Source organism: Homo sapiens, chromosome 11 (genome assembly GCF_000001405.40).
Source record: "Homo sapiens chromosome 11, GRCh38.p14 Primary Assembly".
In the NCBI taxonomy this organism is placed as follows: Eukaryota; Metazoa; Chordata; class Mammalia; order Primates; family Hominidae; genus Homo; species Homo sapiens.
This window is the reverse complement of record NC_000011.10, coordinates 13,486,685-13,508,891: the sequence shown is the minus strand read 5'-3', so window position 1 is coordinate 13,508,891 and position 22,207 is coordinate 13,486,685. Positions and strand designations below refer to the sequence as shown.

The 22,207-nt window shown below is 37.6% G+C and overlaps 1 protein-coding gene across 2 annotated transcripts, besides 21 other annotated features; it reads left to right on the top strand.

Annotated features, from left to right (window-relative positions):
* Positions 8,410-9,575: a silencer, noted in NCBI's record as "AvaII fragment". NCBI's record gives its function as "negative regulator of PTH promoter" and the evidence as "EXISTENCE:reporter gene assay evidence [ECO:0000049][PMID:1939213]".
* Positions 8,623-8,740: a silencer, noted in NCBI's record as "Element 2 (pcR9 fragment)". NCBI's record gives the evidence for it as "EXISTENCE:reporter gene assay evidence [ECO:0000049][PMID:1939213]".
* Positions 8,699-8,722: a protein binding site, noted in NCBI's record as "oligo B". NCBI's record gives the evidence for it as "EXISTENCE:protein binding evidence [ECO:0000024][PMID:7961715]".
* Positions 8,703-8,717: a response element, noted in NCBI's record as "nCaRE-B or nCARE2". NCBI's record gives its function as "negative calcium response element" and the evidence as "EXISTENCE:reporter gene assay evidence [ECO:0000049][PMID:7961715]".
* Positions 8,703-8,984: a mobile genetic element.
* Positions 9,474-9,574: a silencer, noted in NCBI's record as "Element 1 (pcW10 fragment)". NCBI's record gives the evidence for it as "EXISTENCE:reporter gene assay evidence [ECO:0000049][PMID:1939213]".
* Positions 9,543-9,560: a protein binding site, noted in NCBI's record as "oligo A". NCBI's record gives its function as "calcium-mediated suppression of expression" and the evidence as "EXISTENCE:protein binding evidence [ECO:0000024][PMID:7961715, PMID:8621488]".
* Positions 9,552-9,561: a response element, noted in NCBI's record as "nCARE-A or nCARE1". NCBI's record gives its function as "negative calcium response element" and the evidence as "EXISTENCE:reporter gene assay evidence [ECO:0000049][PMID:7961715]".
* Positions 11,889-11,909: a protein binding site, noted in NCBI's record as "site A". NCBI's record gives the evidence for it as "EXISTENCE:protein binding evidence [ECO:0000024][PMID:20558332]".
* Positions 11,889-12,962: a biological region, named in NCBI's record as "PTH promoter region". NCBI's record gives its function as "regulatory_interactions: LOC106736470 | PTH".
* Positions 11,891-12,950: a promoter, noted in NCBI's record as "-1006 promoter fragment". NCBI's record gives the evidence for it as "EXISTENCE:reporter gene assay evidence [ECO:0000049][PMID:20558332]".
* Positions 12,212-12,962: a promoter, noted in NCBI's record as "BglII fragment". NCBI's record gives its function as "downregulated by vitamin D and calcium" and the evidence as "EXISTENCE:reporter gene assay evidence [ECO:0000049][PMID:3785180]".
* Positions 12,500-12,521: an enhancer, noted in NCBI's record as "site B". NCBI's record gives its function as "promotes activity of basal promoter" and the evidence as "EXISTENCE:reporter gene assay evidence [ECO:0000049][PMID:20558332]".
* Positions 12,500-12,521: a protein binding site, noted in NCBI's record as "site B". NCBI's record gives its function as "positive regulation of promoter activity" and the evidence as "EXISTENCE:protein binding evidence [ECO:0000024][PMID:20558332]".
* Positions 12,711-16,838, top strand: PTH (parathyroid hormone). 2 transcript variants are annotated; one of them, NM_001316352.2, is made up of 3 exons: positions 12,711-12,850; positions 16,032-16,122; positions 16,226-16,838. In NM_001316352.2, the coding sequence occupies exons 1-3, from the start codon at positions 12,760-12,762 to the stop codon at positions 16,485-16,487; spliced, it is 444 nt and encodes a 147-aa protein (NP_001303281.1). In that variant the 5' UTR covers positions 12,711-12,759; the 3' UTR covers positions 16,488-16,838. The 2 variants fall into 2 exon arrangements, with proteins under 2 accessions (NP_001303281.1, NP_000306.1); NM_000315.4 differs by lacking the exon at positions 12,711-12,850 and adding an exon at positions 12,895-12,981.
* Positions 12,736-12,898: a promoter, noted in NCBI's record as "AflII/PstI fragment". NCBI's record gives its function as "contains cAMP response element; activated by cAMP" and the evidence as "EXISTENCE:reporter gene assay evidence [ECO:0000049][PMID:1977134]".
* Positions 12,748-12,766: a protein binding site. NCBI's record gives its function as "positive regulation of promoter activity" and the evidence as "EXISTENCE:protein binding evidence [ECO:0000024][PMID:15001549]".
* Positions 12,748-12,766: a protein binding site. NCBI's record gives its function as "positive regulation of promoter activity" and the evidence as "EXISTENCE:protein binding evidence [ECO:0000024][PMID:15001549]".
* Positions 12,771-12,795: a protein binding site, noted in NCBI's record as "p15 probe for PTH DRE". NCBI's record gives its function as "downregulates promoter activity" and the evidence as "EXISTENCE:protein binding evidence [ECO:0000024][PMID:1325645]".
* Positions 12,777-12,799: a protein binding site, noted in NCBI's record as "VDRE". NCBI's record gives its function as "competes with Vdr/Rxr association at adjacent site; positive regulation of promoter activity" and the evidence as "EXISTENCE:protein binding evidence [ECO:0000024][PMID:15297458]".
* Positions 12,819-12,830: a response element, noted in NCBI's record as "nVDRE". NCBI's record gives its function as "mediates downregulation by vitamin D" and the evidence as "EXISTENCE:reporter gene assay evidence [ECO:0000049][PMID:17095575]".
* Positions 12,819-12,830: a protein binding site, noted in NCBI's record as "nVDRE". NCBI's record gives its function as "important for downregulation in response to vitamin D" and the evidence as "EXISTENCE:protein binding evidence [ECO:0000024][PMID:17095575]".

The following is a 22,207-nucleotide window of genomic DNA, read 5'->3' as shown; positions in this document are numbered from 1 at the left end:
CTATATCTGTGTTTTGGTACCAGTACCGTGCTGTTTTGGTTACTGTAGCCTTGTAGTATAGTTTGAAGTCAGGTAGTGTGATGCCTCCAGCTTTGTTCTTTTGGCTTAGGATTGACTTGGCGATGTGGGCTCTTTTTTGGTTCCATATGAACTTTAAAGTAGTTTTTTCCAATTCTGTGAAGAAAGGCATAGGTAGCTTGATGGGGATGGCATTGAATCTGTAAATTACCTTGGGCAGTATGGCCATTTTCACGATATTGATTCTTCCTACCCATGAGCATGGAATGTTCTTCCATTTGTTTGTATCCTCTTTTATTTCCTCAAGCAGTGGTTTGTAGTTCTCCTTGAAGAGGTCCTTCACATCCCTTGTAAGTTGGATTCCTAGGTATTTTATTCTCTTTGAAGCAATTGTGAATGGGAGTTCACTCATGATTTGGCTCTCTGTTTGTCTGTTGCTGTTGTATAAGAATGCTTGTGATTTTTGTACATTGATTTTGTATCCTGAGACTTTGCTGAAGTTGCTTATCAGCTTAAGGAGATTTTGGGCTGAGACAATGGGGTTTTCTAGATATACAATAATGTCGTCTGCAAACAGGGACAATTTGACTTCCTCTTTTCCTAATTGAATACCCTTTATTTCCTTCTCTGGCCTAATTGCCCTGGCCAGAACTTCCAACACTATGTTGAATAGGAGTGGTGAGAGAGGGCATCCCTGTCTTGTGCCAGTTTTCAAAGGGAATGCTTCCAGTTTTTGCCCATTCAGTATGATATTGGCTGTGGGTGTGTCATAGATAGCTCTTATTATTTTGAAATACGTCCCATCAATACCTAATTTATTGAGAGTTTTTAGCATGAAGGGTTGTTGAATTTTGTCAAAGGCTTTTTCTGCATCTATTGAGATAATCATGTGGTTTTTGTCTTTGGCTCTGTTTATATGCTGGATTACATTTATTGATTTGCGTATCTTGAACCAGCCTTGCATCCCAGGGATGAAGCCCACTTGATCATGGTCGATAAGCTTTTTGATGTGCTGCTGGATTCGGTTTGCCAGTATTTTATTGAGGATTTTTACATCAATGTTCATCAAGGATATTGGTCTAAAATTCTCTTTTTTGGTTGTGTCTCTGCCTGGCTTTGGAATCAGAATGATGCTGGCCTCATAAAATGAGTTAGGGAGGATTCCCTCTTTTTCTATTGATTGGAATAGTTTCAGAAGGAATGGTACCAGTTCCTCCTTGTACCTCTGGTAGAATTCAGCTGTGAATCCATCTGGTCCTGGACTCTTTTTGGTTGGTAAGCTATTGATTATTGCCACAATTTCAGCTCCTGTTATTGGTCTATTCAGAGATTCAACTTCTTCCTGGTTTAGTCTTGGGAGAGTGTATGTGTTGAGGAATTTATCCATTTCTTCTAGATTTTCTAGTTTATTTGCGTAGAGGTGTTTGTAGTATTCTCTGATGGTAGTTTGTATTTCTGTGGGATCAGTGGTGATATCCCCTTTATCATTTTTTATTGCGTCTATTAGATTCTTCTCTCTTTTTTTCTTTATTAGTCTTGCTAGCGGTCTATCAATTTTGTTGATCCTTTCAAAAAACCAGCTCCTGGATTCATTAATTTTTTGAAGGGTTTTTTGTGTCTCTATTTCCTCCAGTTCTGCTCTGAACTTAGTTATTTCTTGCCTTCTGCTAGATTTAGAAGTGCAAAAATGAACTAATACAGTAATGGAGTATAATTGAACTCATTTTTTAAATTAAACCAAATATAGAACTTCTTATTCTGCTGCTAACTAGCACTTGGGAAGCTTGAGAAGATACAAAAAATTTTACAGATGAGAGAAACTATATTTTCTCAAATCTAAGTTATCATATAAGTAAACATACTTTAATATACTGTTCCAGTGTGTGTCTATGGGGGTACATGTCTGGACAGTATTCCATAATTATCAAAAGCATGGGTTCTGGAGTCACACTGCCTCTGTTCAAACCAGGTCCCTGCCACTTACTAGTTGGATAACCCTAGACATGTCTTTAACTTATTTATGCTTCAGTTTCTTCAGTTGTAAAATGGGTTAAAATAGATCTACCTCAGGGTTGCTGTAAAGATTAAAGAGATAATATTTATAAAGCACTTAGAACAGTTTCTAGCATATAGCAACTGCTCTGTGAGTATGACTAGTACTATATAATTGCACTTTGGTTAATGAAACATATGGGTCTTTTGCTGAATCCAAACTTAGTATCAGATTGTCAACTAAACTATTTAGTGGCAAGGAAAGCATTTACGGTTGAAAACTATAGATAGAGACCTTTATACTAGATAAAAGATTGTCAGCTTTATCATTCATATGTGTCATCTTACTTACATCTGAAAAGAAATTGAGATGCCCATCCTTCAATACTCTCTCAGGCATAAAGAAGTAATCTTCTAATCTGCAGAGATTGCACATAGGTGTAGGGATCTGACCTTGCAACTTCTTACCACCGACAGCCAAAAGCTTGTGAGAGCACATCATTATAGCCCCACCATAAGCTTGTGCCACATCTGTTCCACCTCCCCACTCTAATGGATCTGGCGTTATTATAAATCATACTTGTCTGTCTCCACCACTAGAACATACATTCCTCCAGGTCACAGTCTATGCCTAACCTTCTCTATAATCCCATACCTCTCAAAACAGGGCCTTGACCTCAGCAAGTATGCCCTGGATTGAATTCTCTGTTTCCTTTCTATTGACCTTTATTCTTTGCAGTATGATATTAAAGAAAAAGATGTAAGTCCAGATGCATAGATTTAAATTTGGCCTTGCCCCTTACTAGTTGACTAAACTTGAACCAAAAACTTCAGAAGTCCAAGTTTAAGCCTCTCATTTATAAGACAGAAATAATATTTACCTCAAAGATACCTGGTGAGAACCAGGTAAGACAAAGTATAATATAAAGTGTTGTGGAAATTGCCAGTAGATGATCAAAACAATCTTACTTGACTCTTAATTTTGCTGTATCAAATGCTCTACTTCTCAATTAAATTCCTAAACTTTTTCTTTTTGCTGAGAGCTTCACTTATTTATTTCTTTTTGTCTGCTATATCTCCATGACTTTTCTTAAATGAACAGACTTTATTTTCCAGAAGGATATTAGATTTGCAGAGTATTTTAGCAGATAGTACAGAGAGTTCCCATATGCCCACCCCATAGCCTCCCTACTGATAGTTTCCCCTATTATTAACATCTGATGCCCAGGTGTGGTGGCTCACGCCTGTAATCCCAGCACTTTGGGAGGCTGAGATGGGCGGATTACATGAGGTCAGGAGTTCAAGACCAGCCTGGCCGACATGGTGAAACCCCATCTCTACTGAAAATACAAAAATTAGCCAGGCGTGGTGATGCATGCCTGTAATCCCAGCTACCCAGGAGGCTGAGGCAGGAGAACTGCTTGAACCTAGGAGGCAGAGATTGCAGTGAGCTGAGATTGTGCCACTGCACTCCAGCCTGGGTGACAGAGCAAGACTCCATCTCAAAAAAATAAAAAATAAAAAACAAAAAAAAACCCATCTTACAGTAGTAGTATGGTACCTTTGTTATAATAAACCAATGAATATTTTTATTATAACATTGATATAAACTTTATTAATTTATTGGTAATTTGTTAATATTATTTAACTTTATTGATTTTATTAAGTATTGCTAACATTGATATGTTTTTATTAACTAAAGACCATAGTTTGTTCAGATTTCCTTAGTTTTTTCCTATTGTCTTTTTATGTTCGAGGATCCCATCCAAAGTGCTATTTTACACTTAGTTGTCTCATTGCCTTAGGCTCCTCTTGACTGTGACAGTTTCTCAGGCTGTCCTTGGTTTTGGCAGCTTGACAGTTTTAAGGATATTGTAGAATGCCCCTCAATTAGAATTTGCCTTGTTTTTCTCATGATTAGACCAGGGATATAAGTCTAACAGGGACTTATATTTCTCATGATTATCCTGGTCTAATCATGAGAAAAATATGGCAGATTCTAATTTGCCTTGGGGAGGAAAATTGCAGAGGTAAAGTGCCATTTTCATCACATAATATCAAGGATATATTCTATCAACACTATTTATCATTGTTGATGTTGACTTGATCATCTGGCTGAAGTAGGGTTTGTCAAGTATCTCCACTATAAAGTTACTCTTTGTTTCCCCTTTCCATATTGCACTCTCTGGAAGATAAACTACAACTGCAAAAAATCTTGAAACAAATTCTGCAAAATAGGAACTGTTAAGAAGAGCCAAATCATCAGGAAAAAATAATGTAAAAGAGAAGCATGTAATTTAGATACTTATAATTTATTTCAGATAAACAACAAATATTTCTAGTATAAGTAGGTCCCATGCAATATTTTTTTATCTCAGTGTACATATGCTTAGGAAATAAATAATTCAAATTTAACTGGGTGTCTTGTGCTTTCATTTGCTAAATCCAGCAACCCTTGTAATGCCAGGATTTGAACTCAGGTCTTCTGATTCCAAATCTAGTGCTCTTTCTACTATGACCTTCCCTTCAGTTGATTACATAAAATAACCAACTGCATGAGTGTGTTTGAATTAAATTTTACAGCTACTTTTACATACTTCATTGTTGCCCTAAACATTAGGAAACTGTCCCTGGAGAGAAAATAGAGAATCTCATCTTCATGCCTCTCTTTGCATCCATTAGGGCATTCTTCTGAACAATGTATTGAGTTAGGCCATGCTGAAGATTCTTTCCATTGTTGAAAGATAAAGTCAATAGCATTCTAGCATTAACTTTTAGAACAGCTCTGAAATGTTATTTGAAATGTCATGCAATCAGCAACAGAGACACAGAAAGCTACAAAGTTGAATTACATCATCTTAACAGGATTCACATAGACTGTTATTATTATTGAGATTCTAATCAGTACCATTGATACTGTTGACAAAGTACTTGGATATACATTATTCTACATGATCCTCACAAAGTCTAGGGGGATAGTTTATACCTATTTTTCTGTGGAAATTGAAGTTCTGCTATGTAAAATGACTTATCTTGGGTTGTGCAGCTGATAAGTATCACAGCTACAAACTACCCACATTGTCTGCTTCCAGATCCTGAGTGTTTCCACTGCACAGTGCTGCCAAGTGGATGTAAGAACAACACAGCTTCTGGGGCTGCTTGTTGGTTTGTTAACTTGAATAAGAGTCCACTCTCTAATCACGCTTAGTACATATTGCTACCAGAAGAACAAAGATATACTTAGCTTTAGTTTAAGTTTTACAACAACTCCTTGTGCAATTAGCAAACACAGCATGGATTTTATGAACATCATAACTGCCTACTGCCTCAGAATTCTTTGCACTTCAGGGAGCTGGACTCACAAATCTGGGAGGCAGAGACCAGATTGGGCCAAGTTGCTCAGCACTCTCTATGCTTATTACTAGGAACTCCTAGAGTGAGATGGACTCACCTGAGGGAAGAGATAAGGGACACTTTCAGATTTAGATTCAACCAGCATTTTTTGAATGTCAATTATATGCAAAGCATTTTCACATATGATAGCTCGTATCTGAAAGCTCATCAAATGAGGGAAGGCAGTATTCTATTTTGAGATGTGGAATTTTAAACTATGAAAAGTTAAGATGTCATAAATTTTTTAAAAAATCACATAAAAACAAAACTCACAAAGATTATGAGCAGGGAAATCTTGCCTGGTTGACTGTAAGTGCTCAGTGAAACTTTACCATATTAGATGAAAACCATAATGTAAATTGCAGTGTTGGCATTCCTGAACTGGAGTCTGAGAACCCAGATCATTTGACTTAGAGCTTCACTAATGGGAAAACAATACCCCATGCCCCACTATTTTCCCACACTATTTCAAAAACATAAAGGGAAGAATCAAGTACATAGCCTATTTGCTCCAGCTGAACACTGGATAAGGGATGTACAAGACATTTTATTTTCTTGTTTTGCTGTTGTATCATAAATTGCATCATCATGATATTCTATCAAAGATAAAGAAAGAGTAGAGCAGAAAGCTATCTATGTAATCCAGAGTAAGATCCACATTAACTGAGGAGACCATATTATCTAAACTTCAAAAAATTTTTTATACTATTCTTTTTTCTGGCAGGAACTAATAGAGTATGAACCCTGAATTGAAACACTTGGTCTAACCAGTATAACTACATTTATGGGACAATAAAAGAGAATATTTAGAATCAAAAGTGTTGGGCCAGGTGCATTGACTCACACCTGTAATCCAAGCACTTTAGGAGGCCAAGGCAAGAGGATCACGTGAGGCCAGGAGTTCAAGACTAGCCCAGGCAACATGGGGAGACCCTGTACCTACAAAAAAAATTAGCTGGATGTGATAGCACAAGCATAGCTACTAGGAGGCTTAGGAGTAGCTAGGAGGCTTACTAGTAGCTAGGAGGCTAGCTACTAGGACTTAAGAGGCTAAGGTGGGAGGATTGCTTAAGTCCAGAAGTTTGAGGTTACAGTTAGCTCATGTTCATGACCCTGCAGTCTAGCTTGGGTGACAAGTTAACAATAATAATAATAATAATAATATTAGTGGTCTGGTTACTTCACTGGAAAGGGCCACAGAAAATTTGAGACTTTACTTCTCAATTAAATTGCTATGGCTTTCTTATGATTCAAAAAGTGATGACTCAATTGTGTCTACTTCTTTCCCTCTCTTTTTTTAAGAAACAGAGAACTTTGCACAGGCAACTAAAACCTTTTCAATTAAATAAAGATCTAAAGGTTTCCATAAGTCCATAAGTGACTCTCTAGGTTTGCTCTGTGACAAGACAGAGACATTCCTTACTGTATTTAGAAAGACAGTCTCATCCCAGGCATCCAGTAACTCGCTATTTCCTTCAGTCCCTGCCTCTAGAGATGCCTCTTTCTGATCGTGGAAACATTGCATATCATCTTAACACTCCCCCAATCCATATAAACATGTAGAAAGCTGAAAACTCATGCAGGGTTAGATGTTCACTGACAGAACACACAAAAAACAACAAGTAATATTGTATTTGTGAATGTGGCTACACATTTTAACTTCGAGGAGCTACTCAGATATAATGGATCCCAGAGTTTATAACATGAATATATAGAGATCAGTGGCCTTCTAAATGCTGCCTATTAGAGAACCACAATCACAGCGTCCATCAATAAAAATTCTAGAGAAAGAAAAATAAGGAACAGAATACTATCATAAATACTTGGAATATTAATCATTTATTATGTGCTAAGTCACTTTAAGCATTTTGTTCATTGCCTCTAACTATAAACAAGTTTAGGGCTGGTGAAAGGAAGCAGAGAGGAAAGTTTTTTCTGACAGATCAAAAGGAGCTTGGTTGGCTGAGTACAGTGGCTCACGCCTGTAATCTCAGCACTTTGGGAGGCCGAGGCGAGTGGATCACTTGACCCCAGGAGGCAGAGACCAGCCTGGGCAATGTGGTGAAACTCCGTCTCTTCCAAAAATACAAAAATTAGCTTGGCATGGTGGCATGCTCCTGTGGACCCAGCTACTCAGGCTGCTGAGGTAGGAGGATCCCTTGAGCCTTGGAGGCAGAGGTTGCAGTGAGCTGAGATCACACCACTGCACTCCAGCCTGGGTGACAGATTGAGACCTTGTCTCAAAAAAATTAATAATAATAATAATAAGGAGCTCAGTAACTCATTGCACAGAGGGGCTTGGAGCAAAAGAATGACTCAACCATTAAGATAGACACTATTCAGAATAAGTTCTAGAGATCTGCTATACAATATAGTGTTTATACCTAATAATACTGCATTGTGAACTTCAAAATTTAAGAAGGTAGGTCTCATGTTGTGTTCTTCTAAACGACAAGGAAACTTTGAGAAGTGCTGGCTATGTCTATTACCTTAATTGTGGTGATGGTATCACAGGGATAACATGTATGTCCAAACTCATCACATTGTACACATTAAATATGAACAGTTCTTTGTATATCAATTGAACCTCAGTAAATTTGTTTTTTTTTTTTAAAAAAAGGGAGTAGAAATTATCCAATCTGTTCACAAAACATGGAATTAGAGAGATGTAGCTGGATTTTTCAGCCCTGGAAGCTTGTTGATGTCAAATTCCCAAAGCTGTACTAATTCCTATTGAGCAAACAGAAGGAAAAAGTATCCGTCTTAACTTAAACCTTCCATAAGGGAACAGGGCACAACACATGGTATTTTGTCCTTCCCAAATGTGAGGAATACATTAGATTGTTTGACCCTAGCTTCAGTACTTTAGAATGCTAAGAAAAGCTGACGTTTTCAAAGCAAAAAGCTGTGCTCAGCTCTTCTCTGTCACGGTGTCATCAGTCTCTTGTGCCCACATATCCCCTAACCCTGTCCTCCTAAGTGATTTCCTTCTATCTAATACCTGCAGGTCCAGAACGTGATGGTTCAGATAAACTATATATCAAGTCTTGGCAGCTATATTACTGCTTTGTGGGAAGGTCAAGTAGTCCTTTGAAAAATTTGAAGGACACAACAATATTACTCATGCACACATTTAGAGTTTAGAGAGGACTGCAAGACAAAACTCCTTGGCATTCACACAATAATCTTCCAAAATTGTACCCAAATCTTACTTCTTTGGAGTCATCATCCATTTCCCCATTTTCCCTCTCCATCCACAAGCATATACTCAATATTCAGTCTTTTTTTTTTTTTTTTTTTGAGACAGGGTCTCACTCTGTCGCCCAGGCTGGAGTACAGTGGCATGATCAGAGTTCACTGCAGCCTCCATCTTCCAGGTTTGGGTGATCCTCCCATCTCAGCCTCCTGAGTATCTGAGACTACAGGTGTGCACCACCACATCCTGCTGATTTTTTTTTTAACTTTTAGGAGAGATGAGGTCTTGCTATGTTGCCCAGGCTGGTCTCAAACTCCTAAACTCAAGCAATCCCCTTGCCTTGGCCTCCCAAAGTGCTGAGATTACAAGTGTGAGCCACTGCGTCTATTCAGTCTTCATTGCCTGCATGCCTGTGCGCATGCAGTTCCCTCTGTCCTTTCTTACCTTCTCTGATGGAAAACACAATCACCTGTCAGGACAGTTCAGCTTTTCAGTAAAACAGCTTCCAACAACTTTAGGGAAATTGTCACTTCCTCTTCTGTGCTTTTATAAGTCTTTGTTCATACCCCTATTATAATACCTATCACATTATATTATAATTATGTGTTAAATTTCAAGGCATTGATTATGTCTCAATTATCCAGTGATTAATACAGCCCCTGGCAGATAGTATTCAACGCATTTTTTTGAGTGAACAAATGAGTGACCACTGTCTGAACTATTTGCTTTATTTTTCTGTAAAACTAGTTTAATAATGTGGTTGCCTTGGTATGACAATTTATTCTATAAATAAGTGTAAGAGAAAGAAGAACAAGAAAGTGATAATTGCATCACTCCTAGAAGGCTGTCAATTACATTAAACTTACCCAAAGCGGGAAAAATCTCCAAATCAGAATATTAAGCATGGCTTTATAATAACAATGCAAAAAATGTGTTTATAAAACCATTTGTGTATGCAGAAGATTGAAACTGGACCTGTTCCTTACACTATATACAAAAATTAACTCAAGATGGATTAAAGATCCGAAACTATAAAAACCCTGGAAGACAACATTGGCAATACTGTTATAGACATAGGAATGAGCAAAGATTTCATGAAGAAGATGCCAAAAGCAATGGCAATGAAAGCAAAAATTAACAAATGAGATATAATTAAACTAAAGAGCTTCTGCACAGCAAAAGAAACTATCAACAGAGTAAAGAGACAACCTACAGAATGGGAGAAAATTTTTGCAAACTATGCATCTGACAAAGGCCTAATATCCAACATCTATAAATTAAACAAATTTACAAGAAACAAACAACCCCATTAAAAAGTGGGTAAAGGACATGAACAGACATTTTTCAAAATAAGACATACATGTGGCCAACAAGCGTATGGAAAAAAGCTCAACATCACTGATCATCAGAGAAATGCAAATCAAAACCATAACGAGCCACCATCTCACACCAGTCAGAATGGCTGTTATCAAAAAGCCAAAAAATAACAGGTATGGGTGAGGTTGTGGAGAAAAAGGAACATTTATACACTGTTAGTGGGAGTGTAAATTAGTTCAACAATTGTGGAAAACAGTGTGGCGATCCCTCAAAGACTAAAAGCAAAACTACAATTTGATCCAGCAATCCCATTACTGGGTATATACTCAAAGGAATATAAATCATTCTATAATAAAGACATATGCATGCGTATGTTCATTATAGCACTATTCACAATAGCAAAGACATGCAATCAACCTAAATGCCCAACAGTGGTAGACTGGATAAAGAATACGTGGTGCCTACATACCATGGAATACTAGGCAGCCATAAAAAAGAACAAGATGGAGCTAGAGGCCACTATCCTTAGCAAACTAACATAGGAACAGAAAACCAAATATCTCATGGTCTCACTTATAATTGGGAGCTAAAAGATGAGAACACATGGACACAAAGAAGGGAACCACACACACTGGGGCTTACTGAAGGATGGAGAGTGGAAGGAGGCGGAGGATCAGGAAAAATAACTAATGGGCACTAGGCTTAATACCTGGGTCATGATATAATTAGTACAATAAACCTCCACGACATGAGTTTACCTATATAACAGGCCTGTACATGTACCCCTGAACTTAAAAGTTAAAAAATAAAAATCCATTAGTGGCTGGGTGTGGTGGCTCATGCCTGTAATCCCAGCACTTTGGGAGCGAGAGGTGGGAGGACTGCTTGAGCCAAGGACAGCCTGGGCAATTTAGCTACACTCTGCCTCCACAAAAATTTAAAAATTAGCTGGTTGTGGTGCTGTGTGCCTATAGCCCCCACTACTCAGAAGGCTGAGGTGGAAGGACTGCTTGAGCCCCGAAAGTTGAGGCTGCCATGTCCATACCACTGCACCACTCCAGTCTGAGTGACAGAGTGAGATCCTATCTCAAAGAAAAAAGAAAAACCATCTGTATTTCCAATTCTTCTTCTCAACAGAGTATAGCAGAAAAATGACACACAAACATCACATGTAGAGTTTGCATCAGAAGAGGTCTTTAAAAAGATCAAGACAACAGATTTTTACAGTTAAAAGAGACCTCTTGGTTATCTAGTTCAACTTTCTTCTATGTATGAATCTCTATAGTATGCCTGATAAATGCTCATCTACCTTCTACTTGAATATTCTCAGTGATGGAGAAATCACTATTTGAGAAGGTACTTGATTCCTTATTTTGACAATTATAATGTCCAAGTTAAACCCAATGAACCCAGCCCTTCCTTCTTAAACCACAGAGAATACTCCTTCTTCCTTATGGTAACCCTATAAATAATTAAACACAGCTATAAAGTCATCCCGTCTTTTTTTCCTCAGACTTTTCTAGTTTCATTCAACTACTTCTCATGTTATAGTTTTCAACATTTTCACCAAACTGATTGATATCCTCAGTGTATGTTCCCATTTGTTTCTACTGCTTCTAAAATGGAGCCTGGAGCAACACTCTAAGTGAGGTTAACCCAGAGTGGAGAATCTCCTAGGACAGGACTAGTATATATCTCTCATTATAAACTCCATACGGTTACTATTCAAATTTGTACTGGCTCTTACCTAAGGTAGAGTCAAACCTTGACAATGGCTAGTAGGAAAAAGGATGACATGAAGCCAGGATGGGACCAGAGCTGAGAGAACTGATCCCACTCTGGCACCGGATCTTTGGTGGGAAGGCAAAGCTGTCTAAAGGAGTCCTAGATATATCAAAGACATTCAGGGTGTTTTGACAGGTGGACCAGGAAAATATTGCTGGAGGAATATTTGAAGTCAGACATGTGGCAGCATCATGCCTCCAATAGGTTTTGGAGCAGGCTCTCATCATCCCTTAGGGAACATGAGAATAAAGACCTAACCCCTAGGGGAAAATGTTGCAAAGAGCTTTTGCTGTGTTTTCAGATGACTTTGCAAATTAAAGTCAAGAAGACTGGAGTTCAAAGAAGGGCTGTATTTCTAGGCAGAAACTGAGGTAGTAAGAATCTGGTGTCATAAAGACCTTTGTTGAATTCCATCTTTTCTGCTTTCCAAGCCTAAGTTTCCTCATGTAAAAATGGGGATAAGCACTTAACTTTAGTACTTTAAGTACTAACTTTAAAGGACTGCTGTGAAGATCTAGTGGGATAATATATGTAGTTAGGCATGCAGTTAGTGCTTATCAAATGTTATTATTATAGATTAAGATGCACAAATAAAATATAAGTTAAATAAATTTTAAAATAATTTCACTTTTGAAGCTTTTAAAGTAATTATGTACTAAGAGCATTTTCTCAAATTATTCTTAACACTTCCTTTAAGAAAAGGGCTATATCTGTTTTTTGAAAGATGACCAGAAGTGACATGGATTGGTTGAAAATGGCTTGTAAAGTAAGCCTAACATTTATGATTTATTACCATAAAAACTGTACCAACAGTACGGTTATAACAAATACACTTATTTTTGGGTTTTATTTTCAAGTAAGATAATGACTTTATCATAAACCTTTGAAATCAGTCTTTTTACAGTATAAATTCAGATTCATTAATCCACATAGAATTTTTCTCGATGGTATAATTCTGTATTTGTTAAAAGTCTTTGCATAAGCCCCTTGTCAAGCCAAATGCTGTTTTCCTTTTAGTATCCAATTATCTGAAACTTAAGAAGAGTGTGCACCGCCCAATGGGTGTGTGTATGTGCTGCTTTGAACCTATAGTTGAGATCCAGAGAATTGGGAGTGACATCATCTGTAACAATAAAAGAGCCTCTCTTGGTAAGCAGAAGACCTATATATAAAAGTCACCATTTAAGGGGTCTGCAGTCCAATTCATCAGTTGTCTTTAGTTTACTCAGCATCAGCTACTAACATACCTGAACGAAGATCTTGTTCTAAGACATTGTATGGTAAGTAAACTTAAAAATTCACTTCTGAATCTCATGAGATTTTGATAATCAAGTTATTATTTAATGTGTACCATTTCTACAAATACCATGTTGTTTCTTCAAGGTAAAATGCTAAGAAGTTTGAGTTATGTTTAATATAAAATGCCACATACAAAATAAATTAATGCTACTCAAATCACAAAATCCTTTTTGATTAAAGTCTTCTGAGATACCTTGCCTTTTAAAACCTCATCTGAAATTACAACAAAAAATCATTAAAATTTGGCATGCTATGCTTTAATATAATAGTATCGGTGTCAAAATTTTGAAATAAAACAGGTTGATGGTGAATGAATAGTTCTGATTTAAATAATCTTTATAAATTTATTAAGTGGAGTTAATATTCTGTTTTTCCTGCAGAGTATTCTTATCTAGATTATTTATTTTATGGCTCATAAAGAGCCCAATCTGTATACTAAAGTTGGATAAGCCCAGTTTGACTAGTAAATATTTATTTCCTTTACATAAATGACAGCTGTATTCTGAAAACAGTATTTCCTATGCTATTTCTAAATGATGCAGTTTCCCTGTAAAATAGGAGTACATAACTACTCTATGTGTATGTTAAAAGGTAGTACACTGAGCATTAAGGAAAAGCACTTCTATAATAACAGCCTTTGCAAGTACTGAAATGCAGATTAAGGCAAGAATATCCTATACTGATGTGAAACGAGGAAAGAGACAAAAGTTATATTAAAAGATAATTGTTAATAAAATAAGTTGAAGAAATAAGCTACAAACAAGCATTCCATTCAGAGATAAAGCTCGAAATCCATATCACAAGTAATTAATCAGATGATTTTTAAATGCTTTGACACATTATTTTTAATGCTAGGAGAAATGTGAATTAATTTAGTGAAAATCTCTAGATTAGCACCTATTAGTTTGGTATTTATGGTTATTACAATGCCTGAAATGAAGGTTACTTAAGAAAAGGATTTGCTACGTAAATAGTGTTAACAATTTACACTATGAAGAAAATTAGGCATTTTCAAGCAAGTTATAAACATTTAGGTATAATCAACATAAAATGCAGTGCGGGGGGATTTCTCAAAAATAGGCTCTTTCATTCCTCTTGTAGCTTAAGATTTCTGCAGTGTGACAGAAGGGAGCATGAGAAGCATGGCTCACCAGCCAGCCTCTATTGTCTATGTAATTAGAAGCTTCAGAACTCACTAATACCACTGTACCTTTCACTGGCGCATTACCCCATAAAACTTGAGATGAGGTGAGATCTGAGTATAAAGATAGGTCAGAAGTATTTTAAAGGGCTTAATTTGCCAAAAAGAAAAGTAAAAAGCTAGAGACCCTTTTTGCAGAACATTTGGTGACCACACATTTGAGGGAAGATGTGGCATTAGATGAAGCAGAAGCAAACCCTGCTCTTAGGGGCTCATCTAGGTGAGTGCACAGCCTGTGACACTACAGGGAGAGGCTCAGTAAACTGAGATCCAGCATTCTGTATGACAGAGGCATTGCTTATCACAGAGGTTCTGAATTTTAAGTAGGAAGTACATAATGAAGAGGGCTTTAAAAATTGCTAAGAAAGCGAGTCACCAGGGCTGGCAGTAGTGTAACAGGGCCATCCTGAGCTGTTAGGAGAGTAGATGCAGGGAGGGCTGGTGACCTCCGTGGGTTTATCTGTTGGAGACTCTTCTCTCCAAATCCCAGGCCTGGCTTCCAGCACCATCCAGCTGTGCCCAAGAAGCCACGCTGGTCTGTTCTCCAAGTCTTTTAAATGGTGCCTAATTTTTCTAAGTGAGCTTAGCAATGAGAAGAAAAAAAAAACATGAATTATTTTTCTGGAAAATCAAGGAGACATGGGTAACAACAGGCACTAATAAATATTTATAGATGAGTGAATGAGGAAATAATTACATAAAAAAGGTCAGTGACAATTGATAAATGACAAGGAAATATTTAATTAGGTAAAAGTAAACCATTGCTCTCTATACTAGGATAGACTTTATCTACTTCGTCTTTTCCTAAGTCAGCATGTTAATTCTGGGGGAGGATCATAAGAAAGGAAATACTTTTTTAAAAAAAATTTAAAAACATGTAACAAAGCAAGGGTAAAATATATGTATATACATAAGTGGTATGACTGTAAAACTGTACTTTCCATTAGTTATTAGCTGAGTTAAGAGAATGATCACGTTGAAGTACTGTGTGGACTAGAAATGTACTCTGTCATCATGCAATGAAATGTTGCTAACATTTTAACATAGCTCATTTATGCAGAATGAATTCTGGCAGTTTACCCCAAGTCACAGTTAGGACGGTAGATGGTGAGATCGCAGATGCGTGATTATCTAGATTCAGTGTTACATTTTTGATGTTTATCACTCAGTGGATTTTTATTAATATGCTGATTAAGTTATTTACTTGGCCAGTCATTGTGCTAAATAGTTGCTCTTTTGTGTTTCATTGCCTTGATGTTTGAGTGTAATCTAGCATTTTAATACAGTGTTTATTTTGCATGATCTTTAACAAATGTTTTAAGCAATTTTAAAAAGGCAGGATGTTATTGACATTATACATTGAAGTCTTAACATTTTAATATTTATAGTGCTTATTAGTTTGCAAAATTGTATAATTAGGAATTATTTCAGAGACAATGTTTTCTTTTTCAGGTGAGTAGTTGCCGCTTAATATCATTGGAGTACATTCTTTATACTGTTTGTGAAATTAATACTAGCATATTAAGTGTACAAATAGATTTAGAAAACAATAAAAAATTGCATTCTAAAAAAATAAATAAAAATAAATAAATAAATAAATAAATAAAACTTGCACAAGAAATCTCCAAAAGATAGTTAGGAGCATAAAACTAATTTATAAGTTAAATTATGTGTATATATAATGTATACTAATGTATCCATAAAATAAAGAGGTTGATTCCAAAAGCTTCTCGTGAAAACCAACCCAATTAGTTAGTATTGCATTCTGTGTACTATAGTTTGGAATATTAAAAATATTTTAAAATACCTCCATTTTGCTTGTCCTTTTAGTGAAGATGATACCTGCAAAAGACATGGCTAAAGTTATGATTGTCATGTTGGCAATTTGTTTTCTTACAAAATCGGATGGGAAATCTGTTAAGTAAGTACTGTTTTGCCTTGGAATTGGATTTTTAATGTTGACTTTATCATTTCGAAGTGGGGAGCTAATGGGAAGTGGCCCTCTCTGTTTCTCTTCTTCCCAGGAAGAGATCTGTGAGTGAAATACAGCTTATGCATAACCTGGGAAAACATCTGAACTCGATGGAGAGAGTAGAATGGCTGCGTAAGAAGCTGCAGGATGTGCACAATTTTGTTGCCCTTGGAGCTCCTCTAGCTCCCAGAGATGCTGGTTCCCAGAGGCCCCGAAAAAAGGAAGACAATGTCTTGGTTGAGAGCCATGAAAAAAGTCTTGGAGAGGCAGACAAAGCTGATGTGAATGTATTAACTAAAGCTAAATCCCAGTGAAAATGAAAACAGATATTGTCAGAGTTCTGCTCTAGACAGTGTAGGGCAACAATACATGCTGCTAATTCAAAGCTCTATTAAGATTTCCAAGTGCCAATATTTCTGATATAACAAACTACATGTAATCCATCACTAGCCATGATAACTGCAATTTTAATTGATTATTCTGATTCCACTTTTATTCATTTGAGTTATTTTAATTATCTTTTCTATTGTTTATTCTTTTTAAAGTATGTTATTGCATAATTTATAAAAGAATAAAATTGCACTTTTAAACCTCTCTTCTACCTTAAAATGTAAAACAAAAATGTAATGATCATAAGTCTAAATAAATGAAGTATTTCTCACTCATTGCAAGTATATCTTTTTGGTTATCACTGATACCCACATGTTTACATTGATCATGACTAGGTAGAACAATACAAAGTATTTTTTTAGTCATGTGTTTCACATTTGGATATTTTGAACATCAACGTTTTAGTATTACCAAAGTATTAGGTTTCCAAATCTTCACTAGCTCAATACTGTTGTCCTTTTGGTTTCAGGAAAGGAAATAAAATGCTCAGCAAAAAAAGGGGGCATAAAGTGGTCCGAAACTTGAAAAAGTATTTGCCCCTACATAAAAACCCACTAATCATAGTTCTAATCTGGACGCAAAATTGCAAGAAATAGAATGTTTGTATCTATTAGAAGATAATTTCATTCATTCATTTGTCATTTGACAAATATCTATTTAGTGTTTATTGTTTGTCGTGTACTGTCTTAGGCACTGGCATACAATGGCAAACAAAACAGACATGGTTTCTGTCTACATGCGGCCTAAGATTTAACAGAGAAGACAGATATTATTAATTCATAATTTAGTTTGATAAGTGCTATGTAAGCACAGCACAAAATATTGGAGTGTAAAATACAGAGCCCTAATGTACTTAGATCAGTGCTGTCCAACAGAACTTTCTGTGATGACAGAAATGTTCTGTATTCTGTGCTGTCCAATATGGTAGCCACATGTTCATTTATGTAAAATGTGGGTAGTGTGACTGATGATTGATTTTTATTTACTTATTTTTATTTTCAATCCCTTCGTCAATTTGAATGATTTTAAATTTTAAATTTAATTTAAAATTAATTTAAATAAAATTATAAAATAAAAAATGGAAATAGCCACATACAGTTAGTGACTACTATACTGAACAGTATAGTTCAATCTCAAGATGATCCAGCTGAATAAGAAACATGACTAAGAGTTAACTAGATGAAAAGAAGTAGGAGGGTTTCCCAGGCAGGTGGTATAGCATATGCAAAGGCCCTTAGTTGGGAGGGAAGATGGCTGTAATGCTAAGAGCCAGGATTACAAAAATGAATAAGATTCCATCTCTGGCCTCAAAGAGTTCATTTTCTAATGGAGAAAGACAGATAGGTAAGCAAGTAATTACAATACAAATACAAAATACTGTGAGATACAGAGAGAGTAGACTTGCCTGATAGAATGAACAATTGAGATGGAAGTTTAACGGTAAGTGAACTTTGTAAAATGTAGAACAGAAGAATATTAACAAATTTCTTGCATTCTGGTGGAATCAATCAAACTGTAGTTTAAATGCAAAGAAAATTAACTTTAAATAGAAAGGGATGCATTACAGAATCATAGAGAATGCTGAAGGAAACAATCTAGGAAAGACTCAAAGTCACTGAGGGAGCGATTCTCTCTTCTAATAGCAGTAGCTGCCTTGACTATTATCCTGAGACTGCCCTGATCAGGAGGCAGCTGCTGTTCCAGAAACACACTACACCTCTACCATCCACCCCAGCAAAACGGATGTCCAGCATTCTGCCTATTGACATCTGTCAGTGCCTTGTCATTGTAACGTTTGCTAACACTAGTACAGTAAAATCAAACCGGTCCACAACAATGCTTGCCAGCAGAAAGGGAGAAGTGGCAGATTACCTTACTTCTGCCTTCCCTTTCTCACAAGAATGCATATGATTTGCTGAACCTTAGCGGCAGAGGTGTCTGGAAAATGTAGTTTTTAACTTGCCAACCTATGTAATAGAGGAATACACACTAGAAGGTGGAGTGGACAGTGTCTCTGACTCCCTGGTAGAGAAATGGCACGGTGAGTATTCTTGAATATGTCCTCTTATGGAACTGTGTGAGAATTTCTTTGGGATCGTTATCCAGAAGTAGAATCATAAGACAGACATAAATGAGTTTCACAAGCACAGTTTATACTCCTTCCAGTAGGCTAAGCATTCCTGTTTCCTTATTTCCACCTCCAGTTTGGAATGATATGCCTTTATAAAAAGTTTTGCCATATTGACGTCAGGTGGTAGCTCATTGGTTTAATTTGTGTACCTCTGATTATTAGTGAGATTGGTATTATCTCTACATGTTGGTCATTTGAGTGTGAACTGCTTATTTATATCCTTTGCCATTTTTCTATTAGTTTTCTGGCCCTGTTGATTTTGAATTCTTTGTATATTCTAATGCAAATTCCTTGTTGGTTTTGTTTGTTTATGTATTTATTTATTTACTTATGAGACAGAGCAGCCTCACTGTGTTACCCAGGCTGGAGTACAGTGGTGCAATCACGGCTCACTGCAGCCTCAAACTCTCAGGCTCAAGTGATCCTCCTACCTCAGCCTCCCAAGTAGCTGGGACTATAGGTGCACACCACTGTGCACAGCTAATTTTAAATTTTTTTGTAGAAATGAGGTCCCACTATGTTGCTCAGCTGGTCTTGAACTCCTGGGCTCAAGTGATCCTCCTGCCTCCCCCTCCCAAAGTGTTGAGATTACAGGCGTGAGCCATCGCACACGGCCCCGTGTTGGTTTTAAATGCCACAAATATTTTCTCCCAGTGTGTCATGTATTTGCTAACTCTTTCTATGCTTTTTTTTAAAACTTAAAGGTCTTTTATTAGCATTAACTTAGCAACTTAATAATGTATTAAAATAACCATTCTAAAAAAGAAAAACTTGAAACATCTTTCTATAGTATTGTCTCAAAAACTACAAATTAGACAACTGACTGAAAATGCCAACTTTCCAAAGAGTGCGCAATTTCACCATGATATTTTGCTTTGTATCTTGATCCTGAATTAATAAGAACTAGTAATATAAAGAAAATTCGCAGGTTAAATCAGATGTTCAAAATAAGATTTAGTCAAGAGATACCTTTTAAAATTGTCAATGACTTAATAACCAGATTTAATTATATGAGGGTGACGGATATACTCATTATCTTCATTGTAATGGTGGCTTCACAGGTATATACGTAGGTCAACATTTATGAAGCCATACACTTCATGTCTGTGGTAGAAAACTTTTAGAATTACAGAAAGGATTTTTAAAAGTGGGGGGAAGAGGGAACCCATCCTAAATGCCACCAACAAAAATGACCACTGTTGATATTTTGGTTACTAAGTTTTTGGATTTTCTAGCATACATCTACTCAGAGTACAATTCATAATTGACACGTTAATTGCAACTGAGAGTCAGCTAAAGCATGTACATGTTAAAACAAGGAGACCACCCACAATATTAGCAAAAGTATTTACTTCCTGCCATATAAAAGCTTCCAAACTTATTTTAAGATGCCACACAAAGCCCATTATCCAACATAGTAACTTTGGTTTCAAACTTTGCCTGTCCATTGACTGTAGGAAAAACAAGCTTAGGTACTCCAGGTAAGACAGAAGTGGGGCATGGGGATGTTGGGAGAGGTGCCATCACTTCTAAAGTGTCTGTATGCAGGGAATCCAAACCTAAAACAGAGAAACTGACCCAGTACCACAAAATTGAGACAACTGAGCCTATGATGACCACTTAGTGCAGTTAGTTATGTTTTGTCTGCATTAGAAATCGACATTTGCCTTTCTAAAGGATTTCTTTCTACATATCTTGAAAGACAACATAGAGGAGTGATCCTGGCTCAGCCAAGGGACCCTGAGGCAAGCTGATTCAGTACGTTGGGTCTTAATTAATTAATTGCCATCTCTGTAAAACAGGGCTTACAACCAAAACTCACTGAAGCACAGTTCATACAGATAAAACACTTAGAACAGCTCTGCCATTTAGCAGTGTCACTGAAGTCTAGGTGGAAGCCACACCCCTTATTAATCTGCTTTGAAGGCCTTGTGTCTCTTTCTCCACACTCATTTCCTGAACCTCCCACCCCTACGGGTCCCAGTCACTCCGACTCTTTCATCAATTCCCAGAACACACCGGGCTCATCACCTCCAAAGCTTCTGTTCTCACTATTCCAGGGCTTGCCTTTTTCATGTGGCCTCCCCTTCTTTCATTCTTCATCTCTTGGCTTAAATGTCACCTTGACGAGGGGCTATCACTCAGTCTGTCTAGGCTTTCCTACTATTTTCTGCCACTAAACTCTGCTTATTTACTTCAAACCATTTTCATGATTGGCAATATTTTGTTCACACTATTGTCTGTCTCCATTTCCTGTGGGCAGCAACTCTCTCTGGTCACCTCCATACCCCTGAAGTAGTGCTCATTATGTAGTGAAGGGTAATACATACCTGTTGCCTGAATGAACGCACCCTTGTGGGGAAAGGCAGATATTGCCTCTTGGGCAGGAAGAGCAGAGGGGACAGAAAAAGTCCTCAAATGTCGGGAATCAACAGCTGAGAGGAAACGAGTTCAGCAATCGAGAGCCTAGACCAGGAGCGTCCAATCTTTCAGTTTGGTTTCCCTGGGCCACAATGGAAGAATTGCCTTTGGCCACACGTAAAATACACTGACGTTAATGATAGCTGATGAGCTTAAAAAAACAAAAAAAAAAAAACAAAAAAAACGCACTATGTTTTAAGAAAGTTTACGAATTTGTGTTGGGCTGCATTCAAAGCCGTCCAGAGTTGTATGCAGCTGGTGGGCCGCAAGTTGGACAAGCTTGGCCTAGACGTTGCTGTCACACGTAACAGAACTCAGCCCCCACCAGCTCAGCCTTCTGAGGGTGAGAGGTGACAATGTACTAGCAGCCCTCACTCGCTCTCCGCCTCCAGTCTGGCCGTGCTTGAGGAGCCCTTCAGCCCGCGGCTGCACTGTGGCGGCCCCTCTCTGGGGCTTGCCAAGGCTGGAGCGGGCTCCCTCTGCTGGCGAGGAGGTGTGCAGGGAGAGGCAGCGGCTGGAGCCATTGAGAGGTGAAACCAGCCGGCTTCTGGGTCGGGTGGGGACTTGGAGAACTTTTGTGTCTAGCTAAAGGATTGTAAACGCACCAATCAGCACTCTGTGTCTAGCTAGAGGTTTGTAAACGCACCAATCAGCACCCTGTCAAAACGGACCAATCAGCTCTCTGTAAAATGGACCAGCTCTCTGTAAAATGTACCAATCAGTAGGATTTGGGTGGGGCCAGATAAGGGAATATAAGCAGGCCACCCGAGCCAGCAGCGGCAACCCATTCGGGTCCCCTTCCATGCTATGAAAGCTTGGTTCTTTCGCTCTTTGCAATAAATCTTGCTGCTGCTCACTCTTTGGGTCCGCACTAACTTTATGAGCTGTAACACTCACCATGAAGGTCTGCAGCTTCACTCCTGAAGCCAGTGACACCACGAACCCACTGGAAGGAATGAACAAATCCAGATGCACTGCTTTTAAGAGCTGTAACACTCACCACAAGGGTCCGCGGCTTCACTCTTGAAGTCAGTGAGACCACAAACCCACCGGAAGGAAGAAACTCCAGACACATCTGAACATCTGAAGGAA